At 48.9% G+C, this 23606-nt stretch overlaps 1 protein-coding gene across 3 annotated transcripts in view, besides 6 other annotated features; it reads right to left on the reverse strand.

Moving 5' to 3' along the window:
- Positions 1-23389, reverse strand: part of ITPKB (inositol-trisphosphate 3-kinase B) — a 107593-nt gene extending 84204 nt beyond the window's left edge. For 2 of the 3 annotated variants that reach the window (NM_002221.4, NM_001388404.1), the window contains exons 1-2: positions 23148-23389; positions 19634-21770 (exon numbers count right to left, since the gene is read on the reverse strand). In NM_002221.4, the coding sequence (NP_002212.3) occupies positions 19634-21565 (1932 nt within the window). In that variant the 5' untranslated portion in view covers positions 21566-21770; positions 23148-23389. Of the gene's footprint in view, positions 1-10870; positions 13586-19633; positions 21771-23147 lie in introns of those variants that run through there. The other variant, XM_017001211.3, reaches the window with a different exon arrangement.
- Positions 1799-2298: an enhancer, noted in NCBI's record as "H3K4me1 hESC enhancer chr1:226905393-226905892 (GRCh37/hg19 assembly coordinates)". NCBI's record gives its function as "activates a minimal SCP1, AML or CMV promoter by ChIP-STARR-seq in primed H9 embryonic stem cells {active_cell/tissue: H9 hESC(primed)}" and the evidence as "EXISTENCE:reporter gene assay evidence [ECO:0000049][PMID:30033119]".
- Positions 7507-8262: an enhancer, noted in NCBI's record as "NANOG-H3K27ac-H3K4me1 hESC enhancer chr1:226911101-226911856 (GRCh37/hg19 assembly coordinates)". NCBI's record gives its function as "activates a minimal SCP1, AML or CMV promoter by ChIP-STARR-seq in naive H9 embryonic stem cells {active_cell/tissue: H9 hESC(naive)}" and the evidence as "EXISTENCE:reporter gene assay evidence [ECO:0000049][PMID:30033119]".
- Positions 21266-21715: a silencer, noted in NCBI's record as "silent region_1890". NCBI's record gives its function as "represses an Ori minimal core promoter by ATAC-STARR-seq in GM12878 lymphoblastoid cells {active_cell/tissue: GM12878}" and the evidence as "EXISTENCE:reporter gene assay evidence [ECO:0000049][PMID:35858748]".
- Positions 22023-22522: an enhancer, noted in NCBI's record as "H3K4me1 hESC enhancer chr1:226925617-226926116 (GRCh37/hg19 assembly coordinates)". NCBI's record gives its function as "activates a minimal SCP1, AML or CMV promoter by ChIP-STARR-seq in naive H9 embryonic stem cells {active_cell/tissue: H9 hESC(naive)}" and the evidence as "EXISTENCE:reporter gene assay evidence [ECO:0000049][PMID:30033119]".
- Positions 22686-22925: a silencer, noted in NCBI's record as "silent region_1891". NCBI's record gives its function as "represses an Ori minimal core promoter by ATAC-STARR-seq in GM12878 lymphoblastoid cells {active_cell/tissue: GM12878}" and the evidence as "EXISTENCE:reporter gene assay evidence [ECO:0000049][PMID:35858748]".
- Positions 23146-23395: an enhancer, noted in NCBI's record as "active region_2670". NCBI's record gives its function as "activates an Ori minimal core promoter by ATAC-STARR-seq in GM12878 lymphoblastoid cells {active_cell/tissue: GM12878}" and the evidence as "EXISTENCE:reporter gene assay evidence [ECO:0000049][PMID:35858748]".

Raw genomic sequence — 23606 nt, forward strand, 5'->3', positions numbered from 1 at the left:
TCCGCCTCCCAGGTTCAAGTGATTCTCTTGCCTTAGCCTCCTGAGTAGCTAGGACTACAGGTGCCCGTCATAATGCCCGGCTAATTTTTGTATTTTTAGTAGAGATGAGGTTTTGCCAAGTTGGCCAGGCTGGTCTCAAACTCCTGACCTCAGGCAATCTGCCCACCTCGGCCTCCCAAAGTGCTGGCACTACAGGCGTGAGCCACCGCACCTGGCCCTCTATTGCTTTTACATGCCATTTTCTGAGCTTATAACATGTTCATACACTTCTAACCAGACGACTTAAAGTAGTGTGGTTGATGTGGAAAATACTAAGAAATCCCAAGTTGTGGCATGCAGTAAAAATGCGTAAGAATAGTTTTGTATATCTCATATAAACCCAAATCATCTTCTGTCAAAAATTGCTCTACCCAGAGAATTTCTGTTCTTCCCATACTCTAAAAAGAGATTCTGTGGCTCTAAAATCTTTTTCTTTATTTTTTTCTAAAAATCTTCTCTTTTTATTTTCTTTTTAAAATGTTTTTATTTTATTTGAAGTTCTAGGATAAATATGCAGGATGTGCAGTTTTGTTACATAGGTAAACAAGTGCCATGGTGGTTTGCTGCACCTATAACCCATCACCTAGGTATTAAGTCCCACATGCATTAGCTATTTATCCTGATGCTTTCCCTACCTCCACCCGCAAAAGGCCTCAGTGTGTGTTGTACTCAAAGTTTTTTTTAAAAAATCTGTTGAACAACTGCAACCAGCATCAAACCTAGGTTTTCAAAACGTACCAAAACGGAAAAATATTCTGAACCAAACCATCATTTGATTCAGTTCCAACTTTGGTCTTGAGCCCAATCAAATAACCACTGAAACATGCTGGACAATTCTAGTGGGCCACGGGGACTGGGTGGAAAGCCTGTGGTCATCTGTCTCCATGAGATGATTTCCATTCCCCAGGCTCAGGGAATACATGGGAAAATCCTCTGCCCATTTTCCAAAAATCCTTTAAGCCCATATAGAAAACAATACTTTCTTTGTGATAGATTGTTTATACAAATTCACCAAAGGAGATTTTGCAAATATTATATAGACTTCATCATACCGAGGGAGAAATAACCATGCCTTTTAGTTTCTTCTGATTCACTGAAATGAGGACTAAGATGCTTTATTTCACACACTACCGGGTTCATGTATATCACCGGGCAGAAAAACAAACATAAATACCTTCTTAAGCAGATGACATCTTCCCCTGTTTCTCGATGGAGACCAAATCCTCCCGCAGGTACTCAAACTAGTAGCAATCCCATTAACTCTCAAGACTACTTTCTGCTGCCCCCTCCTGAGACAGGAGTTAAAAGATGGCAAGGACATGGGCAAGTGGCCTAGGGTGCAAGGTGAAATCTAGTGCTAGCTTTAAAGAGAAAATTCCTTCCATCTCTGTGGTTATGAGTAGTTCTAAATTACATACCCCATGTTTCTTTTTTGGCTTAATTACAATAAAAAGGGGAAGCATCTCTGGGACCTTCAGCATGACTATGTTGCAAAACTAAACCCAAAGCACAGGCCCAGGCTGCAGAGAGACAAAGGGAAGCACCAGTGGCGGAAAGGAAGCCTCACCCAGAGTGGGGCCTGGTCCTCAGCCACCATCTCGGAGGCGCCCAGAGGGAGGTGGCAAGGAGACACTCTGCATCTGCTTCTTTGTTTTTCTTTTTATTTCCAGGCCCCAACAATCAATAAACAACTTTCCTTAAATAATACAGCACCTGTGAGTCAGCCTGGGTAAGCTCCTGTGGAGACGGAGCTGGGAGGTGATGGCATGTGGGCAGGGGCCGCCGTCCGGGCCTCCTACACACCACAGCTCCCACCGGGCTGCCCGCCAAGGGGCATGACTCTATCCTGGAGTCAGAGGACACTGGGAGCAGGAAGCGACCTCAGAGATGACCAAACACCTTCACCTGAAGCCCTGAGAGGCAAAGCCCAAACAGGAGGCCAAGGCTTTTGACACCCTGCCCGTTTTTATAGCACCTCTGTGGAATTGTTCATTTTCTAAGCCAGATCATTCCACAGAAGGAGACGGTAAATAAGCCAGTGAAAAAATTAACATCGCCAGCCATTAGAGAAAAGCAAGTTGGCCGGGCGTGGTAGCTCACGCCTGTAATCCCCAACACTTTGGGAGGCCGAGGCAGGCGGATCACAAGGTCAGAAATTCAAGACCAGCCTGGCCAACATAGTGAAACCTCGTCTCTACTAAAAATACAAAAATTAGCCAGGTGTGGTGGCGGGCACCTGTAGTCCCAGCTACTTGGGAGGCTGAGGCAGGAGAATCACTTGAAACCAGGAGGCGGAGCTTGCAGTGAGCCAAGATCGCACCACTGCACTCCAGCCTGAGCGACAGAGCAAGACTTCTCAAAAAAAAAAAAAAAAAGAGAAAAGCAAGTTAAAACTGCAATGAAGGCTGGCGTGGTGGCTCACTCCCATAATCTCAGCACTTTGGGAGGCCAGGAGACTTGAGACCAGCCTTGGCGACACAGCAAGACCCCATCTCTACAAAATAATTTTAAAATTAGCTGGGCATGGTGCTGCATACCTGTTGTCCTATAAATCGCTACTTGGGAGGCTAAGGCGGGAGGATCCCTTGAATCTAGGAAGTCAGGGCTGCAGTGAGCCATGATTGCCCCCTGCACCCCAACCCGGGCAAGCTACAGAACAAGACCCTGTCTCAAAAAAAACAAAACAAAACAAGACACAGAAAGAACCTACAATGAGATGGCCTTGCATACCTGCATACCTACCAGAGTGGCTAAAATAAAAGTAGCTACTTAGCTACTAAATAAAACGCTGGCAAGGATGTGGAGAAGCTGCAGCACTCATACACTGCTGTGGGATGTAAAATGGTGAAGCCACTCTGGAGAGCAGTGTGGCAGTTTCGTAAAATATGAAATGAATGTGCAACTACTGTACGACCCAGCAACTGCACTCCTGAGCATTTATCACAAATAAATGAAGGCTTACATCACACAAAAATGTGTACACGAATGTTCACAGCTGCTTTATTCAAAATAGCCAGACCTGGAAATGACACAGATGTCCCCTCCTAAAAAGTGAATCGGGGGCCGGCACGATGGCTCGTGCCTGTAATCTCAGCACTTTGGGAGGCCGAGGCAGGCAGATCACTTAGAGGCCAGGAGTTTGAGATCAGCCTGGGCAACATGGTGAAACCCCGTCTCTACTAAAAAACACAAAAAAAGTAGCCAGTTGTGGTGGCGTACGCCTGTAATCCCAGCTACTCGGGAGGCTGAGGCACTAGAATCACTTGAACCCAGGAGGCAGAGGTTCCAGTGAGCCAAGATCACACCACTGCCCTCCAGCCTGGGCAATAGAGCGGGACAAAACAAAACAAAAAATTGAATCTGAATCTCTGAGGGTAGCATAGCAGAGACTGAGGAATCCAACTTTGGTAAGGAATCCTGGTGGTCGCTCCCTGCTGACTTACCGTGCCCTGTGGTCGGTCACTTGCCGCCCCACATGGCCTTTACGATGGAGGCCACAGCCTCACTTGGTGACCGCAGCTGTGCTCCTTTCCAGGGAGGTGCCACACCCTTCACCTCTATCACCTATTGAGAATATCACCTATTGAAAGCCTGGGCATTCTGTGTCCTGGCCCCTTTAGGCCCTCACCCATGTCTCCTAATTTAAATGAGGATTTAACTTAATTTACCTGGAGGCAGGTAACTCAACTCGATTGCATTCAATTCCTGCTTAGGTGCTGACATTATAAGCCCACAACAGCTTGTACCTGTTGGACTCATGCGCAGGCCGTGCAGCTCCAGGCTGCCTGGGTGCTTCACAGTATAGCAGTACCTAGCAAGCCCCACGCAGCACAGAGGCCCACGATGCTCTCTCTGGGTGGCCTGAGGCATCTGGACACGTGCAGATCCATGCTCTGTATCTGCTGAAACCCTCTTTCCCGTGGGCAGATCTGCCCTTCTCCCTGTGGGAGGCAGGCTGAGTCCCTGGGGACCCGGATTACAGAGTGAGTGCCTTGGGGTGCTCCCCTTTTCTGCTATCAGGGGCTTATTGCCCTGCTATGTCTGCAGCAATGAGGAGCTTTAACCTTTTCCTGCCCTTTAGGGTTAAGAGTTCTCTTCCAGTTCATCAGCCTAAGGAGGCAGCTCCAGGAGCTCACTTTTGCTGCAGTTGCATCTATTACATCCCTTTTTTAAACAAAGGCCCATTCATTTATAAGGAAAAGAATCCACTCTTAGTTCCACCTCCTCAAGTAGAAAATTTTTAACTAGACTAAAACGGTACTCCAGGGGACCTATGTGAACACACTCTCTTTCCCCCGGGGTCCAGTATTTCCACGGCAACAACCAATCCTAATTCCCTCAGCCACCTCCCAGGGCTGTGGTTCAGAGGCCCCATTGCTCCACCCATCCACCTCTGCATTCAGTTCAGTTAGTCCCCAGTCCCCCTAAAGCACAAGGCCCAGAACTAAATTCAAAGCCACCTTCCTCTGTTCTCCAGGCGACAGCTGATGGGTGGCAGAGAGGACAGGGTAGGAACTTGGGAGATTCAGATGAGTTAAAATCCCAGTCCTGCCATTGATCAGCTGTGGGCTTGGGACTAACAATTTATATGTCTCATCCTCATCTCTAAAAGGAGGAAAATAATGAATGCCCTGCAAAAATTACATAAAGTATTTGACGGAACATGCCTGGCACATAATAGGCACTTCTGAAATCATTGCTGCTATTATTTTTATTATTATTGTGCATCCTAAGACTGTTTAGTATTTTTTACAGCCGTACCACCTGTTAATTCATATTGAACTGGTAGTAAAATTATAACTCCCAGTGAATTTCAAAAGAAATATTGGCCGGGCGCGGCCGGGCGTGGTGGCTCATGCCTATAATCCCAGCACTTTGGGAGGCCGAGACGGGCAGATCACGCGGTTCAAGATCAGCCTGGCCAAGATGCTGAAACCCCATCTCTACTAAAAACACAAAATTAGCCAGGCATGGTGGCACCTGTCTGTAATCCCAGCTACTCAGGAGGCTGAGGCAGAAGAATCGCTTGAACCCGGGCAGCAGAGGTTGCAATGAGCTGAGATCATGCCAGTGCACCCCAGCCTGGGCGACAGATCAAGACTCCATCTCAAAAAATAAAATAAAATATTGGCCGGGCGCAGTGGTTCACGCCTATAATCCCAGCACTTTGGGAGGCCGAGGTGGGTGGATCACCTGAGGTCGGGAGTTCGAGCCCAACCTGACCAACATGGAGAAACCCCGTCTCTACTAAAAAAAAAATACAAAATTAGCCAGGCGTGGTGGCACATGCCTGTAATCCCAGCTACTCAGGAGGCTGAGGCAGGAGAATCGCTTGAACCCAGGAGGCGGAGGTTGCAGTGAGTCAAGATCTCGCCATTGCACTCCAGCCTGGGCAACAAGAACAAAACTCTGTCTCAAAAAAAAAAAAAAAAAAAAAGAAATAAAAGAAATATTGATGAGCCAGGACTCCTCCATCCTATCCTTTGGGCAACTGACTTTTAAATACCTTTATGGGGAACTTATGTTCCCTTTTATGACATCTGGTCATGGGGTCATACTGAACTATTTTCTTTTTTTTTTGAGACGGGGTTTCGCTCTTATTGCACAGGCTGGAGTGCAGTGGTGCAATCTCAGCTCACTGCAACCTCTGCCTCCCAGGTTCAAGCAATTCTCCTGCCTCAGCCTCCCAAGTAGCTGGGATTACAGGCGTACGCCACCACGCCTGGCTAATATTTTGTATTTAGTAGAGACGGGGTTTCACCATGTTGGTCAGGGTGGTCTGGAACTCCTGACCTCAGGTGATCCACCTGCCTCAGCCTCCCAAAGTGCTGGGATTACAGGCGTGAGCCACCGCACCTGGCCTTTTTTTCTTTTCTTTTCTTTCTTTTTTTTTTTCTTGAGATGGAGTTTTGTTCTTGTGGCCCAGGCTGGAGTGCAGTGGCACAATCTGGGCTCATTGCAACTCCCGCCTCCCGGGTTCAAGCGATTCTCCTGCCTCAGCCTCAGGATTAGCTGGGATTACAGGCGCGCACCACCACACCCAGCTGATTTTGTATTTTTAGTAGATACGGGATTTCACCATGTTGGCCAGGCTGGAATCGAACTCCTGACCTCAGGTAATCCACCCACCTCAGCCTCTCAAAGTGCTGGGGTTATAGTCATGAGCCACCGCACCCAGCCATAAACTATTTTCTGAAGTTGCTCAAGTCTTCTTTGCAAAGTCAGTGTTCCCAAACTACAGTCAGAGGCCAGGCTCAAGGTTCCTAGCAACCTGCCACCTGGTACATTCAGGGCACTCGCCCTTCAAGCACAACATGGATCCTTGGGGCTCCTTGCCACTCCAACTCCTAGGAGACTCTCCTGCCTTCCCCTGGGAATGTGGTATTTGAGGCCAATGGTGACTGACCAGAAAATCTAGGCCAGTTCAAAATGCCAAAGACAGGATGCCAGGAAGGACCCAGAACCTGCAGGGCTCCGTTCAGCTTCTTGGGGTTAACCAGCAGTCTGCAGAGGCGGGAGACGGCTCGGCTCTCAGGAGAGAGCAGCTGATTTTTAATGTACAGTGTAATACCGCAAGGTAAACAGCATCCCAGACGCTGCTCCATATGGCTTTACCCTGAGATCGAAACTAATTACCATTCTGTGTATATTTCCAGGTTGGGGCAATAAGGGAGTTACTGTCCAGCACATTCGCCATCAGACCACCCCTGAGGTCAACACTGCCACGTGCTAACAAGCTCCTTTCGTGGTTTCAATCCTCCCAGACATCAGTCCCTTCATCCTGCAAAGGGCAGAAAGAAACTGGGGCTTGGGGAGGTGTTAGGGCAGGCTGAGCCTGAGACACATATGTCTAGAAAGGGGCAACGTCTCAAAACTGCACATTCAGAGCCTGGAAGCTCTGTACAGATGCCTAATGGGTCCTGGGGCTAGAAAAGGTTTGAATAGATCATCCTGGACAGAAAAGATGCAAACCCCCAGGGGTCAACCCTGCAGGCTACCTGCTCCCCCTGCCCCCCACCCATTACAGCTGAAAGGAAGGAGAGAGTTCCATTTCACACATCCTGTGTGTAGCAGAGTAGAGACCAGGGTTTGGCAGGCAGGATGCCCAGGGCTGTGGTGACGCCAGTCCGTGCTGCTCAGATGGAACCTGTAGCCATCCAGCCCGGATCCTGCATGGGTTCCAGTAGGCCCTCCTGGGACTTGGAAGTGAGCTGGTGTGCTCGGGGTTCATCAGCTCCGTCCAGTCACCTGACTGGCTTTTCCTTCCACTCCACCATCCCAGCCCAGATGACAAGGGCACAGTATGGCCTTGTGACTTGGGAAGTCCTGGGTAGGTTCTCTGTGGCTCACTTCAAGAGGAGGCCAGGGTGACGCACAGTGTACTTCAGAGACCCCAGAGCCACCTGGACCTGAGTCCCTGTGAATGGACACGTGACGGGCCTCACTGGGTGTGCAGTAAGATAAAACATCTCCTTAATCTCAGAGAGAGCCTGTGTTAATAAGCACGTGCCTGGCCTGGCACCAGATGCGGCACAGAGAAGAGACGAAGACTAATTAAATCACACACGTCCAGAGACCTCCTTGGTAAGAAAAGCCACACCGATACAGAGTAGTGTTGTTCTACACACACACGTGTGTGTGGGTGTGTGTGTATAGAGAGATATATATGTATATATTTCATTGGCTCTCTTATGAGCTACAGTGACTCTAAAAGATGCACCAAGAAAGCAGAGGAACAAGGGGAAGGGAGGGAAGGGACAGAGGCTTTCACACCCCAAATGCTGGGCATTTTGTGTCTGGATGACCTCAGCCAGTTTCCACCTACAAAACAGAATAAAAAGAGGCTGGTCCCCAGGGTGTGTAACCTGACACCTCTTGCCGGCAGCTGAATACAGGGGATTGTTTTTTTAAACTTCAAGTTCCAATCCCTAGTAACAAAGTGAGGCCTCTCCTGCAACTAAAGAACCTCCCTGGAAAAATAAATCCTGCTGCCTGTTTTGTCATCATCTTCGACAATTAGCTGTACTTGGGACAACGTGACTCGAGCCAATTGGTGAAGGCGATTAGGGCATCCACTTAAAAACGCTCTTCACAACTGGTGGAGGGGTGTCCTCTATTCCACCCCTGTTCTGCACCCGGTACTTGAGCTGCATTATCTCCTTTCATCTTCACAGCACCCCCTGAGAGAGGCTCATTATCCTCATGTTAGAGATGAGGACACTGAGACTCAGAGATGTTCAGCCCACGCCAAGGTCTAGGACAGAGTGAGGGTGTGGGTTCAGGTCTGGCTGGCTCGGGCTCCACACTCCCCAGCAGACCATCTTGCTTCTGTGCTCAGCAGAGCAAGCCTCCCCCAGCACACACTTCCTACAAACCTCAATGTCAAAGAGCTCCCAGACCCCATGACTTCTCCTCTTCCAAGGGAAGAAGTCAGCAACACTGCCTCAGACACCCTTATTCACTCTCACCCAATCAAAGAGAATGGTGGAGGTCGCAGGTTCGGCATAAAATACTAACAAATGACACCACAGCTGCCTCTGAGGTCCATGCTATTGTATCGAGCATTTAGTATGTCCAGACGCTGTGCTAGGCATTTCCCACATTACCTTGTTTAAGGCTCACAGCCTTAAGGTGGGTATTATCAGTCACATTTCACAGATGATGCAACTGAGGAGCAGAAAGTTTTCTCTAGGGTCACACAGATAGGAAGTAACAGAGTTTAGACTCAACCCAGGACTACACCTCAGGGTTCTTCCCCTCCCCCTAGAGCTCTTCCATAGCTAAGACTCTATAACGTGTACTAAGCAGAAAAACCCCTGCCGAGCTCTCCTGACCATGTCCTTCTGGTCAATCGGGGTCCTCCCGAGAGCATAGCAACAGTGCAGCTGACTGGGCTCTGCACCGTGCAACTGCTGAGCATCAATTTGTGCAGAATCCAACGCTCCAAATCAAGTACTGGGGCAGGGGTGCCCTCTTTCATTCCAGCCTCCGTGAGCCTCTGGATCCAGAACAGTCTCTTTGATCTACCACTTCTAACAGAGGGAGCAAATTCCTCAAGACCTTTACCCCAGACTCCTTCCCTAGAGGCTGTTGCCCAAATCCAGTTCCTTTACTCCCTGTTCCACAACATGTACTGAAGCTTTCTGCATTGTGCATGCCAGCACCAACCCATTATTTGTTAACTCATATTTAATGAACATGCTTGCTCAATGGCCGTACAACTTGTTCTTCAGTTTCACAAATTTCCAATATGTCTATTGGCATTAACTTTGTCTTAGAAGGCAGATCCCCAAGGACAGGGACAGCATCCGTTAAGCCGTTCTTCTCAGCACAGGTGTCTGCAGACAAGGGTATTAAATAAATGCCTGCTATTTGGGCTGCCACTGGGTGCAAAGTGCACTTCTCAAAGTGGGCAGCCACCCGAAGGGAAATCCAGCTCCGTGGAAAAGGAGGCAGTGGTTGCCAGACCTAGCCCAGGGCCTGGCCATACAGAAGAGGCACCCAGTATATATCTACTGAATGTAATATCTGCTCAAGATGTAATTAAAAGCTCAAGACTTTGCTGAATTCCCCCCTTTCACTTTCCATGACACAGAAGAGAAAACCACTCAAGGTACTGGAAAAGTCCATGCCCCCATTAAGTACCCTCAAACTCTAGAGTGCAGTGCAGTCTCCCTATCATGATTCAGCAGCTGGCAGCCCTGTTCAGGGAGCATGAGACCCCTGCTTTGGGGCCCCCTCCTTGCTCACTCCAGCCTTCCCTGGTGTCTGTTACATCTGCATGCCCACTGACGAATGGGCAAACCACAGCCGGAGGAGGCTGCGTCCACAGTCTACAATGGCCGAGATGGTCACACAGGCAAGAGGAGACGATGCTGCGGCTGAAGTGAAACCGGGGCGTTATCCAGAATATCTCCTCATCCCAACCCGACCTCACTGCTCCGTCCACCTCAGAACTGGCTCTGCTGTGGACGCAGAGATTGCTTTTAACATAGTCCTTAGCAATTTCTTTTCAAGCAACAAGGTCAGAATACTCTTCATGAGTGAGTGCTTGCCCTTGTCCATCCTCTTTTTGTAAAAAAGCAAAGTCATCGTACTCATAATTAAAAACTCATTTAGGCAGGAAATAATTCACTGTCCCCAAATGACTGTATACACGTCTTATTTGGACTCACAAAGACCACATGAGGTAGGAAGACTATCAATATACCCATTTTACAGATTGAGGATACCCAAGTCCAAAGAGGCCCAATGAGGTCAAGTGCTGGATCTGAGAGTCACAAGTCTTTCAAGCACGTTCACTTGTTAAGCACAAAAAACATTCTCAGAGGAGGTCTTGAGTCTCCTCAACTACTTGCAATTAGCCAGATGGTCAATATTAATGAGTGTTTAATGCTGTGATGACTATGATGATGATGAAGGAGAAAGGTTAAGAAAAAGAGAAGGCCAGGCTCAGTGGCTCCCAGCTGTAATCCCAACACTTTGGGAGGCCAAGGCGGATTGGGAGGCCAAGGTGGAAGGATCGCTTGAGCTCAGGAATTCGAGACCAGCCTGGGCAACATAGCAAGAGATGTCTCTACTAAAAAATAAAAAATAAGCCAGGCATGATGGTACGAGCCTGTAGTCCCAGCTACTCGGGAGGCTGAGGTGTGAGGATCTCTTGAGCTGGAGAGATCGAGGCTGCAGTGAGCTGTGATCACACAACTGCACTCCTGCCTGGGCGACAGAGTGAGACTCTGTCTCAAATTCATAAATTTTTTTTTTTTGTAAAAGAAAAAGCGTTCAGCGGCCGCATATAGACTAAAATATCAATTATAACACATTCAAAATGTCCCCTACACTGGCGAATGTTTAATCCATAAGGTTTTTTTAGTAGTTTGTCAAACAGTGACCTTCTCACTTCCCAGCTGTAACACATAGCAAAACCAATTTTCCTACCCTTGGCTCAGCAATCTGGGTCTCAGGATTATTTGTGCCCAACAAAATCTCTTAGCCATTTCTTAAACTACTGGCAGGTAGTTAGATTTTCCACTTGACATTGCTAAGAGATTAAAATTGTTTATCTCATTGTCATACACAGGCCTTTTCAGTTTCCTGCTAGCAGATTCAGGTTAGATAAGGATTACAGAAGTGATACTCCCAAGTTCCTCTCTATAACAGTCGTCATCCTTTCCCCATAATATTATGAGGTATATTTTATTAAATCTATCATTCAGATAGCTAACGCGTAAGAGCATTATATAACATATAAAAAGCATTATACCTCATGCATAAGCAGAGGCTTAGACAAACACCAGCTCCTATTCAACTGGGGAAGAAGCACTTCACAGGAGATCCTGCTGAATTACACAGTCAGTCATCAATTGCCATAGAGAAGTTGAAAACAAATTGAGTTGAGCCCGGAAAGAATGTCAGTGAAATTGGAAAAAACACTTGCTGGGAACTGCCTGGGGGTGCAGTGACCTCCCTTGTAATTGCCCAGGTCCCACCAACTCAGCAGCATACCAAGAGAGATTGCAGATTGAGCTGGGTGGATGGCCAGTCACCAGGGAACCAAATCCTTCTCGCGGCAGGCTGAACGCTCCCTGTAGTTCATGAAAATATTAAGCACTGGTAATATAAAATGTGTTATGCCTTCTTCTTGGAAAACAGTAAAATCAGTTTATTCGTTCTCCTTTAATGGATGGGGGCAGGGAGGGGGACAGAATGCAGAGAACCCTTTAGAAGGGCCAAGAAAGAAAACTGCTGTCATTGCCCCAAAAGCCAGAGGTAAAAGCACCTCGTTTGCACCCCCACCCCTCAACGCCCTGAGACCAACTTTATAAATGTGAGCAAATGGCCCACCCCTTCAGAAGAGTTCTCCTTGGCCAAGGGCCGGCCGTTACCCTTCATCATTAATACGTATTATCATCTCTGGGTTAGGCAAACCCTAATCTTGGTCACCAGGTCAACGGAAATAATCTTGATGCCTATGTTTGAGATGCTGTATCATTTCATTTTCCCTTTCCACCCAGAATCTTACCACAAAAGTAAAATGCTAGATTAACAGGATAGCAGTGAGCTTCACGAGGAAGGATTCCCTTCAGCTGAAAATTCACCACCACCACCCCAGGTTACGTGAGATGTTTTTCTACTTATTCAAAGATGGGGAAAAAAAACATCTCCTCCCACTCCAAGTGAAATCATACATAAATATGAATTGCAGAGGTTCATTCTGCTTCCTTATTGTCTATAGCTCCTACTTTTTGCTTACTTATAAAACTTACCAGCTGATGTGGGGCAAAATAGAAGTAAAAATCTCAGCAAATAAAAAATGCTGTATTGACTAGTGGCCTGAAGAGATACCTTTTGTTGAATGGGTTTCTACTAAGTGATATCAAATCAATAAAATGCCCAAGTAAAGCTCAACAGAGGAGAAAAGATCAGATTTCTAACAGTGAATTCTTAATGGAGTTGTTGAGAAACACGCCAGACAAGTTAGTCAAAAGCCTGAGTGTTGGCTTGCCTGTGAAATGATTGTAACAAGTCATTCCGTATCAGACAAAGTTGGAAGACCCTGCCTTTAAGTAAGAAACATCAGAGTGGTCTTCCCCGCACAAACACTTTGCAAACGTGTCGTGGTTGACCTTGTCCCTTGAGGCTGGTGTGCAGTGTGCACTTCTGCTGACCAAGCAATTCATTCCTATCGCTTTGAGTCTAAGCCTTAAAGTAATCCCCAACCCTGCAACTGAACAAAAGGAAACCACTACTACTACACCCCTACTATGTACCAGGTACAGTGCTAGGCACTTTTATAAACATGACATAATTGAACGCTCACCACTCCATGAGGTCACACTTACTCTCCCCATTTTTCAGAGAGCTTGCTAGCCATGTGTAGACTGGAATTTCACCCAAGTCTCCTAAACCCAAGCCTAGCACCCTTATCCCTGTGGCAGCAGTCACAGGAATAAGCAACAAACTTGCATTCCCAGGGCTTGATTCCCTTTCTTTGTTCTTCACCTTCCAGATGGTTCTGTATTTCTTTTATGGGTAGATAATGCAGCAGGGATTTTTTCTCTCCTTCATTCATTCACCCATTCCTTTAACAAATGCTTTAAAAGCATGCACTGTGTTCAAAGCTGAGGTGGATCTGCAAAGGCGAGTAAGGAGCTTATCCACTGAGGAAGTTTGTTAGTTGAAGGGTGTAACCATGGGTCCTGTAATGGTATTGACTATTTTCCACCCTTGCTTTCCTCCTCTGTAAAATGTGGATATTAAAGGAAATGAGGCCAGGCGCGGTGGCTCACGCCTGTAATCCCAGCACTTTGGGAGGCCGAGATGGGAGTATCACAAGATCAAGAGATAGAGACCATCCTGGCCAACATGGTGAAAACCCATTTCTACTAAAAATACAAAAATTATCCGGGCATGGTGGCATGCGCCTGTAGTCCCAGCTATTCGGAAGGCTGAGGCGGGAGAATTGCTTGAATCCGGGAGGCAGAGGTTGCAGTGAGCCGATATCATGCCACTGCACTCCAGCCTGGGTGACAGAGCGAGACTCCACCTCAAAAAAAAAAAAAAAAAAGGAAATGAGCTCTAAAGCCTGTCCCAGACCCAGATTTCGATACTGTTAATTATGGAAGCTATCGAAAAGTTTTTGTTTTGTTTTTGTTTTTGTTTTTGAGACAGAGTCTTGCTCTGTCACCCAGGCTGGAGTGCAATGGTGCAATCTCGGCTCACTGCAACCTCCAACTCCTGGGTTCAAGTGGTTCTCCTGTCTCAGCCTCCTGAGTAGCTGGGATTACAGGTGTGTGCCACCATGCCCGGCTAACTTTCGTATTTTTAGTAGATTTAGTATTTTTAGTAGACGAGGTTTCACCATGTTGACTAGGCTGGTTTCGAACTCCTGACCTCAGGTGATCCATCCACCTCAGCCTCCCAAAGTGCTGGGATTACAGGCATGAACCACCACACCTGGCCTAGTTTTTGTTATTTTTTAATAGGAAGCACAGAGGCCTAACTTCCTAATGAGATCATATATATTTATGGTGTCTGTCAACCAAGGAGACTTGAACTGTATTTAAGATAATAGTTTACTCCTGGAAAAATGGATCAGGGCTGCTGTCTTCACCAGAAAGTTGGGGTGAATGAAGGGGGCCCAGTGAGAAAATGAAGAGCTGTCTGGCAGAACTTTAGCTAGTCAAATTTGACTACAAGGTCAAGGGACCAGGTCAGCAGATTCTTCCAGATCACCAAGGTAGCCCTCCACAGTCAGATGGACCAGACCCATGGGTCTGAAGGAGATGCTGATTGTTTCTGCTCCATGTTGTTTGGGACTGCCTGTAGCACCATCGTCACTTGGTTTGGTAAGTTAACACAGGAAGGGCAACCATCTTAGAACTGGTAATACAAAATCCCAAACAGGCAGCTGCCACTCCACTTTTCAAATTACCAAAGAGTTCATAGTTGGGTTTGGTGTGACTTTTGTTAACAATGAGCTCCCCTGATGGCTGAAAAATACATCTTTCATGATGCCAATTCTACCCAGTGAGGAAAAGAAAAATCACAGCAAGGCCTTGTCATGGAGTTGAGAGTACCATATGCATAAACCTACCATCCCAAGGTCTCCTCTCCCACCAAAATCCACAGAACCTTCTACCCTGAGGCTGCGATCACAACATGCTTTAGAAGACTTCCCAAGTTAATTCTGAACCACCTCCTGATTATCCAAAGTCTGTAGTTTTTTTTCCACCAAGATATAAAATTCTTTCCATTAAATACCTTAAAATTCTACCTTTAGATAACTAAATTGAGACCTGACAAAATAAAATAAGCCTAAACAATGTTGTCAATACTCCTAGGAATATAAATAAACTAGCCAGTACTAATCTAATCTGGAACTGCATTTAACAGGTATGTGCCAACAAAATCAGAAAAGTGACTCTGTAGCAATTCAGCACTTAAAAACAAAAATTCTGAAAATGACTTATGTAACACCTCAAATATATTTCTCTAAAAACACCGACTGACTGGTTTAATGTTTTCTTGTAGTACCTAAAAGCGGGTGAGTCTTGAGCTGTATGTTTTGCAAAGTCTAAGCATTTGCATGATAAGTAGCAACGCTTAGAATCAATCTCTCTTTGTCTGTATACCTCACCTTTACTTGAAAATGTTTTAAGCTGGCTGAATACTTTTATCTTTGATAAGACAAGGTCTTTGAAGTGATGTTTTGGCTCTGTGTGGGCAAGGCCTCAGTTTCTAGACTTCAGTATCTGAGGGGGGACAATGCCCTGCTTTTTGTTTTTAAACAGAATGAATCTTTTACTGTTCAGGTTAATGTTCTGGCATCCTACCAGCTGTCTCTACCACCAGACTAATTATTAATGATAATCTTAGGTATGGTACTGATGATTTATTTTGATGATACTTTTTCAGTATGAAATTACAAAGAGCCTTTCTTATGGCAAAGAGATAGAAGATAGGCAGATCAATCAATTGGTCTCAAGCAAAAGCACAAAAGTAAAAGTGCCCAGTTTTGGCCTCAGTGCCGGAAACCCACACCTAAGAAGTCTTGTCGCATTTTCTGATACCCTAATACAAACACTAGGCTTTAAATCAGATGTCTTCAATTACATAGTCACAGACAGAACTAGATGACCCCATGAGATCATTCCCATACAATACCCACATTTTCAGAGGAGAAAACTAAGCTAGAGAAGCAGAGCCCATGAGTGTGTCCTTGGTTCCCTTTGACTTTCTGAGTGTTTATTTCCTCATCCCCAAACAGATCAGTCATACCCAGAACCCAAAATAAATGACTCGGGGTCCTCCCAGATCTCAAAGCTGCTGAGCCCTTGCCAGAAAGATCCTCTCCATGTACCTGAGAGAAGAAGGGTACCCCATCTTCAGAAAACAGCATATGCAACCTGAGCTCATAACCCCACAAATCTGAGCTTTCAACATTCTCATCTAGAAAAGAATTTTCCACTTAAAAGTATTCACCAACAGATGCATTTTTTAAAGTGCCCCTCTAGGCTTTTAAATTTTAGTTTGGTTTACCCCAAACTAAAATTTTTACACACTTTTCAAAACCACATAAAACCATGTTAAACTGTTTGGATTTTTTACTATGTGTATGAGTTCGTTTTTCACTCAGAAAAAAAAAAGACAACAAAACTAGTCAACATCAAAAAAAAAAAAAAAAAAAGCGAAGGAAACAAAATTCCAATGGCCTTTAAAAAACAGTAAGCACCATGAAGCCAAGGGTTTTGTATTACACTTCTTTATACACCCCACAGGTAATTAGGCCAGTGTTTTTTGTTTTTGTTTTTTGTTTTGTTTTGAAACGGAGTCTCACTCTGTAGCCCAGGCTGCAGTGCAGTGGTACAATCTCGCCTCATTGCAACCTCTACCTCCAGTGTTCAAGCAATTCTCCTGCCTTAGCCTCCCAAGTAGCTGGGATTACAGGCGCCCGCGACCACGCCAGCTAATTTTTGTATTTTTAGTAGAGACGGGGTTTCACCATGTTGGCCAGGCTGGTTTTGAACTCCTGACCTCAAGTGATCCACCCGCCTTGGCCTCCGAAAGTGCTGGGATTACAGGCATGAGCCACCGTGCCCAGCGTTCTTTTGTTTTTTTTTTTTTTGTACATATAACTGACAGAACAATTTTGAAATAAATCAATAAAAATCTATTTTTAAAGTAAGGTACTTTTATATCTTAATACAACATTTTAAGCCTGGTGTCTCAATGGTCCAGATTCTCTTAAACAGAATTATATAGGGAAGTAAACAACCGCTGGTTAATTTTTAGTTGTCAGAAAGAACAAAAGATTGAGCACTATCCTTGCTCAGTGCAATTTGATTTTGTTCAGATCTCAGAGAACAGTAAGCATGAATGTGCCTGAATTTCAGCCATTGCACACTGGGCGTGTAATGCAACTATTTCTGAGCAAATTTCAAGTGTCTGATCCCTACTAAGCAGATATACTGTCACCCCCTGCCTGCACACCAAGTCATACACACTCATTCCTCAGCAAGGATGAAGAAAGCGCCACAGGAGGCCCGAAAGGCTTAACTCTGTGGGAAGGTAGGGCAGCACAGAAACAATCTCAGTGTCTAGTGTGGGTCTGAGGGCCAGGGGTTGGTTATGTGACTGGAACGCTGAACATGCCATTTCAGACCTGTGTGAGTGGGGTGAGCAAGGGGGAACCTGTGTGAGCATAGGAGGGTAAGTGTGAGCATGTGTGAGGGCATGTGTGAGGGCAAGTGTAAGCAAGTGTGAGCAAGCATGAGAGTGTGCAGCTATAGCGTTGTGCAGTAGCTGGACAGACACAGCAAAGTCCAGAAAAGAGAATGCTACATCAGTTTGGTAGAACCTCAGACAGAGCTGGTGGGGCTTTTATCTATCAAACACAGAAAGGCCCAGCCAAAAGACTCACTCCATCAAGATGTCTGGCCTTCTGTAGACAAAATATCTATTGCAGGTAATCAAGTGATTTTTGACCCAATGAGCTGATGTTTGGGTGTCACAGATAAGGCTCCAGCGTAACAATCTGTACAAGAAGAAAACTTTGCTTATCGTGCAAGCACTCAACCAAAGCTCAAAAGTCCCTAGGATCCCATAATTTCCAGTTGGTTACCCACCCTTACCCCCCTACACACACACACACACACCCACCCCACTTCCCACCAGTCTCATGTGATTCAGAGAGCAAAGCCGGCAGGGGATTTTTCCCTGGCTCTGCTCTGCGGGTGTCTGAAAACCTGTTTAAAGGTGGGAGGTAGACTGGACAACAGGCTGGCCTCGTTTCTACCTCTGGATATGTTCACTAACTTAAAAACACCACTTAACCCTCTGGTTTCTCAAATGGCATCGTTCTGGCAAATGGAAAAAAAAGTCACCTGTCGTTATTGATCTCCCTGTTAATTCTCTTCTAGACAAGAGCCGTTTTCAAACATCGGGACACAAACTGTTTTGACAACCAGCCAATAGAAGTTGCTAATCTACCACTAGAAAGGGTGAATGGACAGTCAGGGAACAAGTTAAAGTGACTTTGGCTGTTTCAGCTATGCTTCAGGAGTTCAAAAGCAACTGGGAGGGATGGGACGGGGGACCATCTCTTATTCAGTAGACCTCTAACTGCTGGGCAGAAAGAGAAATCTGGCCCATGCCTTCAGAAAGAAGTATTTCCCACCTGCCCTTGACCACCATCCCCTTCCAGGTGGACCGCTTCCCCCTCTAAAGGTGGTGCGCCTATGCCTGACAGCAGGTGCATAATGCCCAGGGGCCCTGTCCTAGCCACAAAATGCCAGGCTGATTGGGGCGATTTTGCATACACATTTGCCTCCAGATCATCAGCAAAAAGCAGAGTTTCATGAAAAGGAATGCCTGGTCTTCAAAAATCCAGACTGTGATTCGTGAATAGGGAATCAGAGAGGAGTATGTTTTGTGGTCCAAAATACCTTAGTGAAGAATGCAGAGTAGAAACATAAAGCTCCCAGTCGTGGTGGAGAAAGTTATTGAGGTACAGTGAAGAGTATTTGATATTCAAGATGAAATCGGAAGGCTACCTACTATAATAAAATGCAGACTTTCCCCCAATATAGCACAACCACCCCTGGCACACTGAACTAGGAAATTCCCCATGCTCTCTGGAAAAGCTAAGAGAAAGCCCAGACCTTTTCAGAAGTGCTAGCTTCAACTCCTATGTCTTCTGTAAGATACTCTGATCCTCCTAAGAGTAAAAGCAGCCTACAAGTTCGATTAACCATGTAATAGAAATAAACTCCTGTCTACTGCCATAACCAGAACAAGATGTCAGTGTGATGACCCAAACCAGAGGCACGTGAAAACATACCTGAAATGTCAACCTGTACCAACTGACATGTACATCCATTAGGAGGTACCTACTCCGGAGATAACACTCAGGTGCCTATGATACTGAAGAAACCATCTGCTTAGCTCAAAGTATGGTTTTCATTTAATTCATACATCAAACTGCACCTTGGTTACACTGACCACACAAATATTGCAATGGTCTGGCTTAACTTACTGAGGCTCAGTGATTCCTCACCCAGTTGACTGGCCACAACCACATCTACAGGTTTCAGGGTCCTGTCATAGATTCACATCACTCATTTTCCTGGCTTATTAGTAGAGGCTAACTTAATTTGATGATATCCTTGTCAATTTTCTTTGGCCTGAATGAAACACAGAGTTAAGTGTTTCACCTGATCAGACAAAAACTACACTCAGTAGCTCAGTTCACTATCTTTGGGGATTAGTCCAGAAGTTTTTGGTGACATTTATGAATATTATTTTCCCAAGAAGCGTGGTGACCTACATGAAATACTTTTAAAACTTGTTTTTTAAGATATGCATGGAAATAGTAGAAAGACTCAGATTCACTGTCCAAGCTAAAATGCATGGTCAGTGCCTCTGCTTCCACCTCAGCAAACACACCTGGACAGAATTATTCACTGTGACTGTCCCAGGGCCCTGGTCTGAGTTTTCATGACTGTGTAGAAAGTTAAGAAAAAGGGATGCATAGGGCATCAAAAGTCTGCTGAAATCAGCATGAGTTCTGGGCAAATCTCAGAGCAAGACTTACCACTCTAGGTTTCTGCTGGTCCAGGGTATGCAGGAAGGCTGAGTTGGGGTCCAGGGTGCGCTCAGGGTCACTGGAGATGTCCTCCTCTGAGTCTTCGTAGGATGAGGAGAAGCCCGTGGAGGAGGCCGAGGAAGAGGACAGTTTCCTCAGGGGCAGGTTGCCCCGAGGGCTTCCCTGCGTCTCCTCCAAGGCCCCATCCTCCTGGGTGCCCATGTCTGTAATGATGACAGCAGGTATGTTGCTGGGGCTGCAGGCCTTCCTCAGGAAAGGCTTGTCCGGATCTTGGGGTAGCAGCTCCGGACTTGGGAGGGCATCACTGTCCTGCCGCTGGCTTTCCCAAGTCCCCTCTGATTGCACCCCTGTGCCACGCGTCCAAGCCAAACCGGCTTTCTCCATGGTGCCCTGCCAAACCCTGGAGTTCCCAGGCTGCACACCCACCCTGTCCCCAGGAGGGCACTGAGGTTCTTTCAGATCTTTCGCAGCGTCCCAACAGGGCAAAGGCTCCAGCATTCTGCCAGAAGGAATTCCCGCCTCCACATTCCCGGTCCCCGGCTGTGCTGAGGGGCTGCCCCCAAGCAAGCCCAGCGTTGGGGACCCTCCCTCCACTCTGTCGGAGAGCTGCCAACGCCCCCCGCCCACGGGGGCCCCACTTCGGGCCTCCTCAGGGCCTACGGAGGCCAGGGCCCTGGGCAGCCTGGACCAGCTCAGGGAATCAGAGGACTCTGCGCTTTGCACGCTCACAGTCGTCTCCTCTGGCCTTTTGCCCACTTCAGGCTCCCCAGAGCCCGGCATGCCACAGGGCAGATATCCTTTCCCCATCTTCCCAGGGGGTTCTCCATCGCGGGGCCCGCCCCTTTCTGGGGCTGGGCTTGTCTCACTGCCCAGAAACTGCCCCTGCCTCTCCACCAGGGCCTCTGGGGGCTGCAGGTCCTCAAGCTCACGGGCTCTCCCAGACGGCTCAGTGAGGGCAAGATCCTGTGGACGGTGTGGCCCAGTGGATGTAACTCTCGCTGCCACTTCCGTGGCCATCGTTAAGCTAGCTCCGAACAGCCCCAATGAGGGAGCTAGGCAGCTCCGAGTTCCCGGGGTAGGAGAGCCCCTTTTGTCAATTTCCATAGCTGTGGGTGAGCCACAGCGGGGACTGGCAGGGATACCCTTCTCCATCCTTACAAAAGCGGATGGACCCTGAGCCTCTGATCCTGTAGGGGCAGCCCGGCCGGGAAGAGGTGGCATTCCTTTCTTCACCTGCGAGGAGCATAGGCTGGGCCCTCCTTTCCTCCCGGAGTCGGTTCCTGAAGTCTCTGGACATTGCTCCCCCCAGGACTTTGTCCTCCGTTCCTCGCTCCGGGCGCCCTGAACCAGGACCCTTCCAGGGGGCTGACTGCTGCTGCGGAAGGGGCACGGGGAGGGCGAGCGAGCCCTGCCCAAACGCGGGCTGCGGGGCGCTTGAATGGCGGAGCTCTGTGCCTGGATGTGCGCCTCAAACATGCCCACTTTCTGGTTCACCTGCACGTTCTGCAACTCGCGCTGCAAGATCCGCAGCTTCCTCTTGGCCTCCTCCGGCCCTGGCGGGGAGAGGGTACCGGCTGCCACCACCTGCTGCCGGTCCCCTCGCAGGCGACCAGCCCAACTTGGGCTGCTCACGCTACTGCCGCTGCTGCCGCTGCCACTGCCGCTGCTACTATTCAGCCTGCGCCGGCCGCTCCGCCAGCCCCCGGGGCTCCGGGGCTCCTCGGGGGACAGCGACTCGGCTGGGGGGAAGAGGAAAGAGGCGCCTCTCCCGGGGCTGAAAACGCTGCCGGGGCTCAGCACTGCCCTCCTCGGGGGCGGGGGCGTCTCGCTGCCACTGGGCCCCGGGCCGCCGCCGCTCTTCATCTCGTTGGCGCTATTCATGATCACCAGGCTATTGAGCGCATAGCAGTACACAGCCATAGTACTGGGTCCCGCGCTGCCCGCCGCCGCGGCTCCCGCTCCTGCTCCGCCGCCGGCGCCTCCTCCTCCCGGCGCTCCCGGCTCAGCCCCGGAGGCCCGGCAGCCGCGGCTCCGCGCGCAGATGGGGCGGCATGGCCTGGGCAGCGGGCTGGGGGCACGACCGCGGGCTCAGCCCCCGCCCAAAGCTCCATAAACAACCGTGCGGCTGTGGAGATACAAGGAGAAAAGTCAGGACCCTGGAGGGCGCGCGGGGGGAGTTGGGGGTCGCCTGCAGAACCCAGAGAGAGCCCCGGGAACACAATCTATCCGGGACCCAGCGCCACCGGACATCTCACCTATGGGGACGGCGAGGCTCGGCGAGGGCATGCCCCGGCTGCCTCGGTCGCCAGCGCGGTTTCGGGTGTGCTTCCCCGCCCCCCACCTCGCCCCAGGCTGCGATGCGCTTTATGAGGTCCCTTCAAATCCCAATCCTAATACTCGTCTCGCGGACCGGCGAGAAGCGAGGTCCAAGTCCTTGGCTCCTAAGTATGCTGTGTGCGGGGCGCGGCTGACTCAGCTCTCCCGGGCTGAGGACACCCCAGCCACCGTCTCCGGGTCTCCCCAGCCTGAGCAAACATTGGCTATCCAGGGCAACCCGGCAGCCCTCGCCCTGGGCTTCAGGGTCTCCCTGCTCCACCCTCTCGGGGCATCAGAGACCGACCGGCTCGGAGGGAACCTAAGCGGGACCTGCCTTGCCCGAGCCGCTGCCAGCGCCCGGATCTGGGAGGGCGCCCGCGTGCCCGCCGTTTACCTTCCTGACCCTAGCCTTGGGGCTGTGTCTCTCGGCCTACGAAGGCCTGGGCGGGCAGCGGGGCCGCAGCCGAAGCATTTTTCAGGGCTAGCCTTGTCGCCTATCCCTAGACAAGTGTTTTGTGAGTGTGGGCGCACCGAGGTTCTACACGTTCTCTTTACCGGAACCAGTACTTGCTGCCCCCCTGCCGTCGTCCCCTATGGGGGGGTGTCTGTGAGTGTGTGTGTATACACGCGTGTGTGTATACGCCGCACGCGCGCGGAGCGAGTCCGCTCTCAGCGCGCCCTGTTGCCGAGGACGCGACTGCCCCTGCGGGCTCCCGGACCCGCGCCCACTCGGAGGAACTTAGGGGCGTGCATGGCTGCAGCCGGGCAGCAGCCCTAGGTGCACAGAGCCTCTAGCTCTGCAAACCTCCCAGGAGCCGGCGCTCTAACACCCCAGGGCAGCGCCGCGGAGCGCAGGGCTTCTCCGCATCCCGGGCAGCCTCGCCCGGCGCCAGCAGAGCCGCCCCGAGACCCCAGCCTGGGGACTCCTGGAGCGCGCTGAGGGAGGCGGCGCGGAGTGAGCGGCCCGGAAGGCGGGTAGGAGAAATGCGGAGACCTCGTCTCTCCCTATTTTCTCCCCACCGCCACTCCATGTCACCCTCCAAAATCAAACCCCCTTCCCTGCCTCCCCAGCCCACCCCTTTGCCCTGTTTCGGAACCAGGAACGCCGAGATTCGCTCCAGAGCAGAAAGTGAGGGAAAAGAGGGTTGTTCAGAGGCGAGAGCCATTAAAAGGCCGCCAAACTTACCTGCAGTTTCTCAGATTCTCAGGTCCTGTGTAGACTACATGCCCAGAGGCGCAAACCTCGTAGGGACGAGATGGCTTTAAAAGTAAAAATGCTCAGAAATTATTTTCTCACAAGCTATGGAAGACAAAAAAGAGGAGTGCGAAAGAGGGGGGAAAGCTCTTCGGTTCAGGGGCCCGGCGATCCCGGCAGTGGCGACGCCAAGCCGGCCCTGCACGCCCTTTTCGACCGTGGAGATACTGCCCCTGTCAGTGTCTGCTCCGGGCTACTTCAGTGTTTGTTCAATGCACGATTAAAAAAAAAAAAAAGAAAGAAAGAAAAGTTGTTGGGGGGGGGGGTAGTGGAGGAGGGAGGAGGGAGAAAGGCGGAGGCTTGGGGGAGGAAAGCAGGAAGGAAGTTGTGAGCCTGTCTGGGGTTGAACTCAGCGGAACAAGTTTTTCTTTTCTTCTTTTTTTTTTTTTT

The sequence above is a fragment of the Homo sapiens genome, chromosome 1, assembly GCF_000001405.40.
Source record: "Homo sapiens chromosome 1, GRCh38.p14 Primary Assembly".
Taxonomy (NCBI): domain Eukaryota; kingdom Metazoa; phylum Chordata; class Mammalia; order Primates; family Hominidae; genus Homo; species Homo sapiens.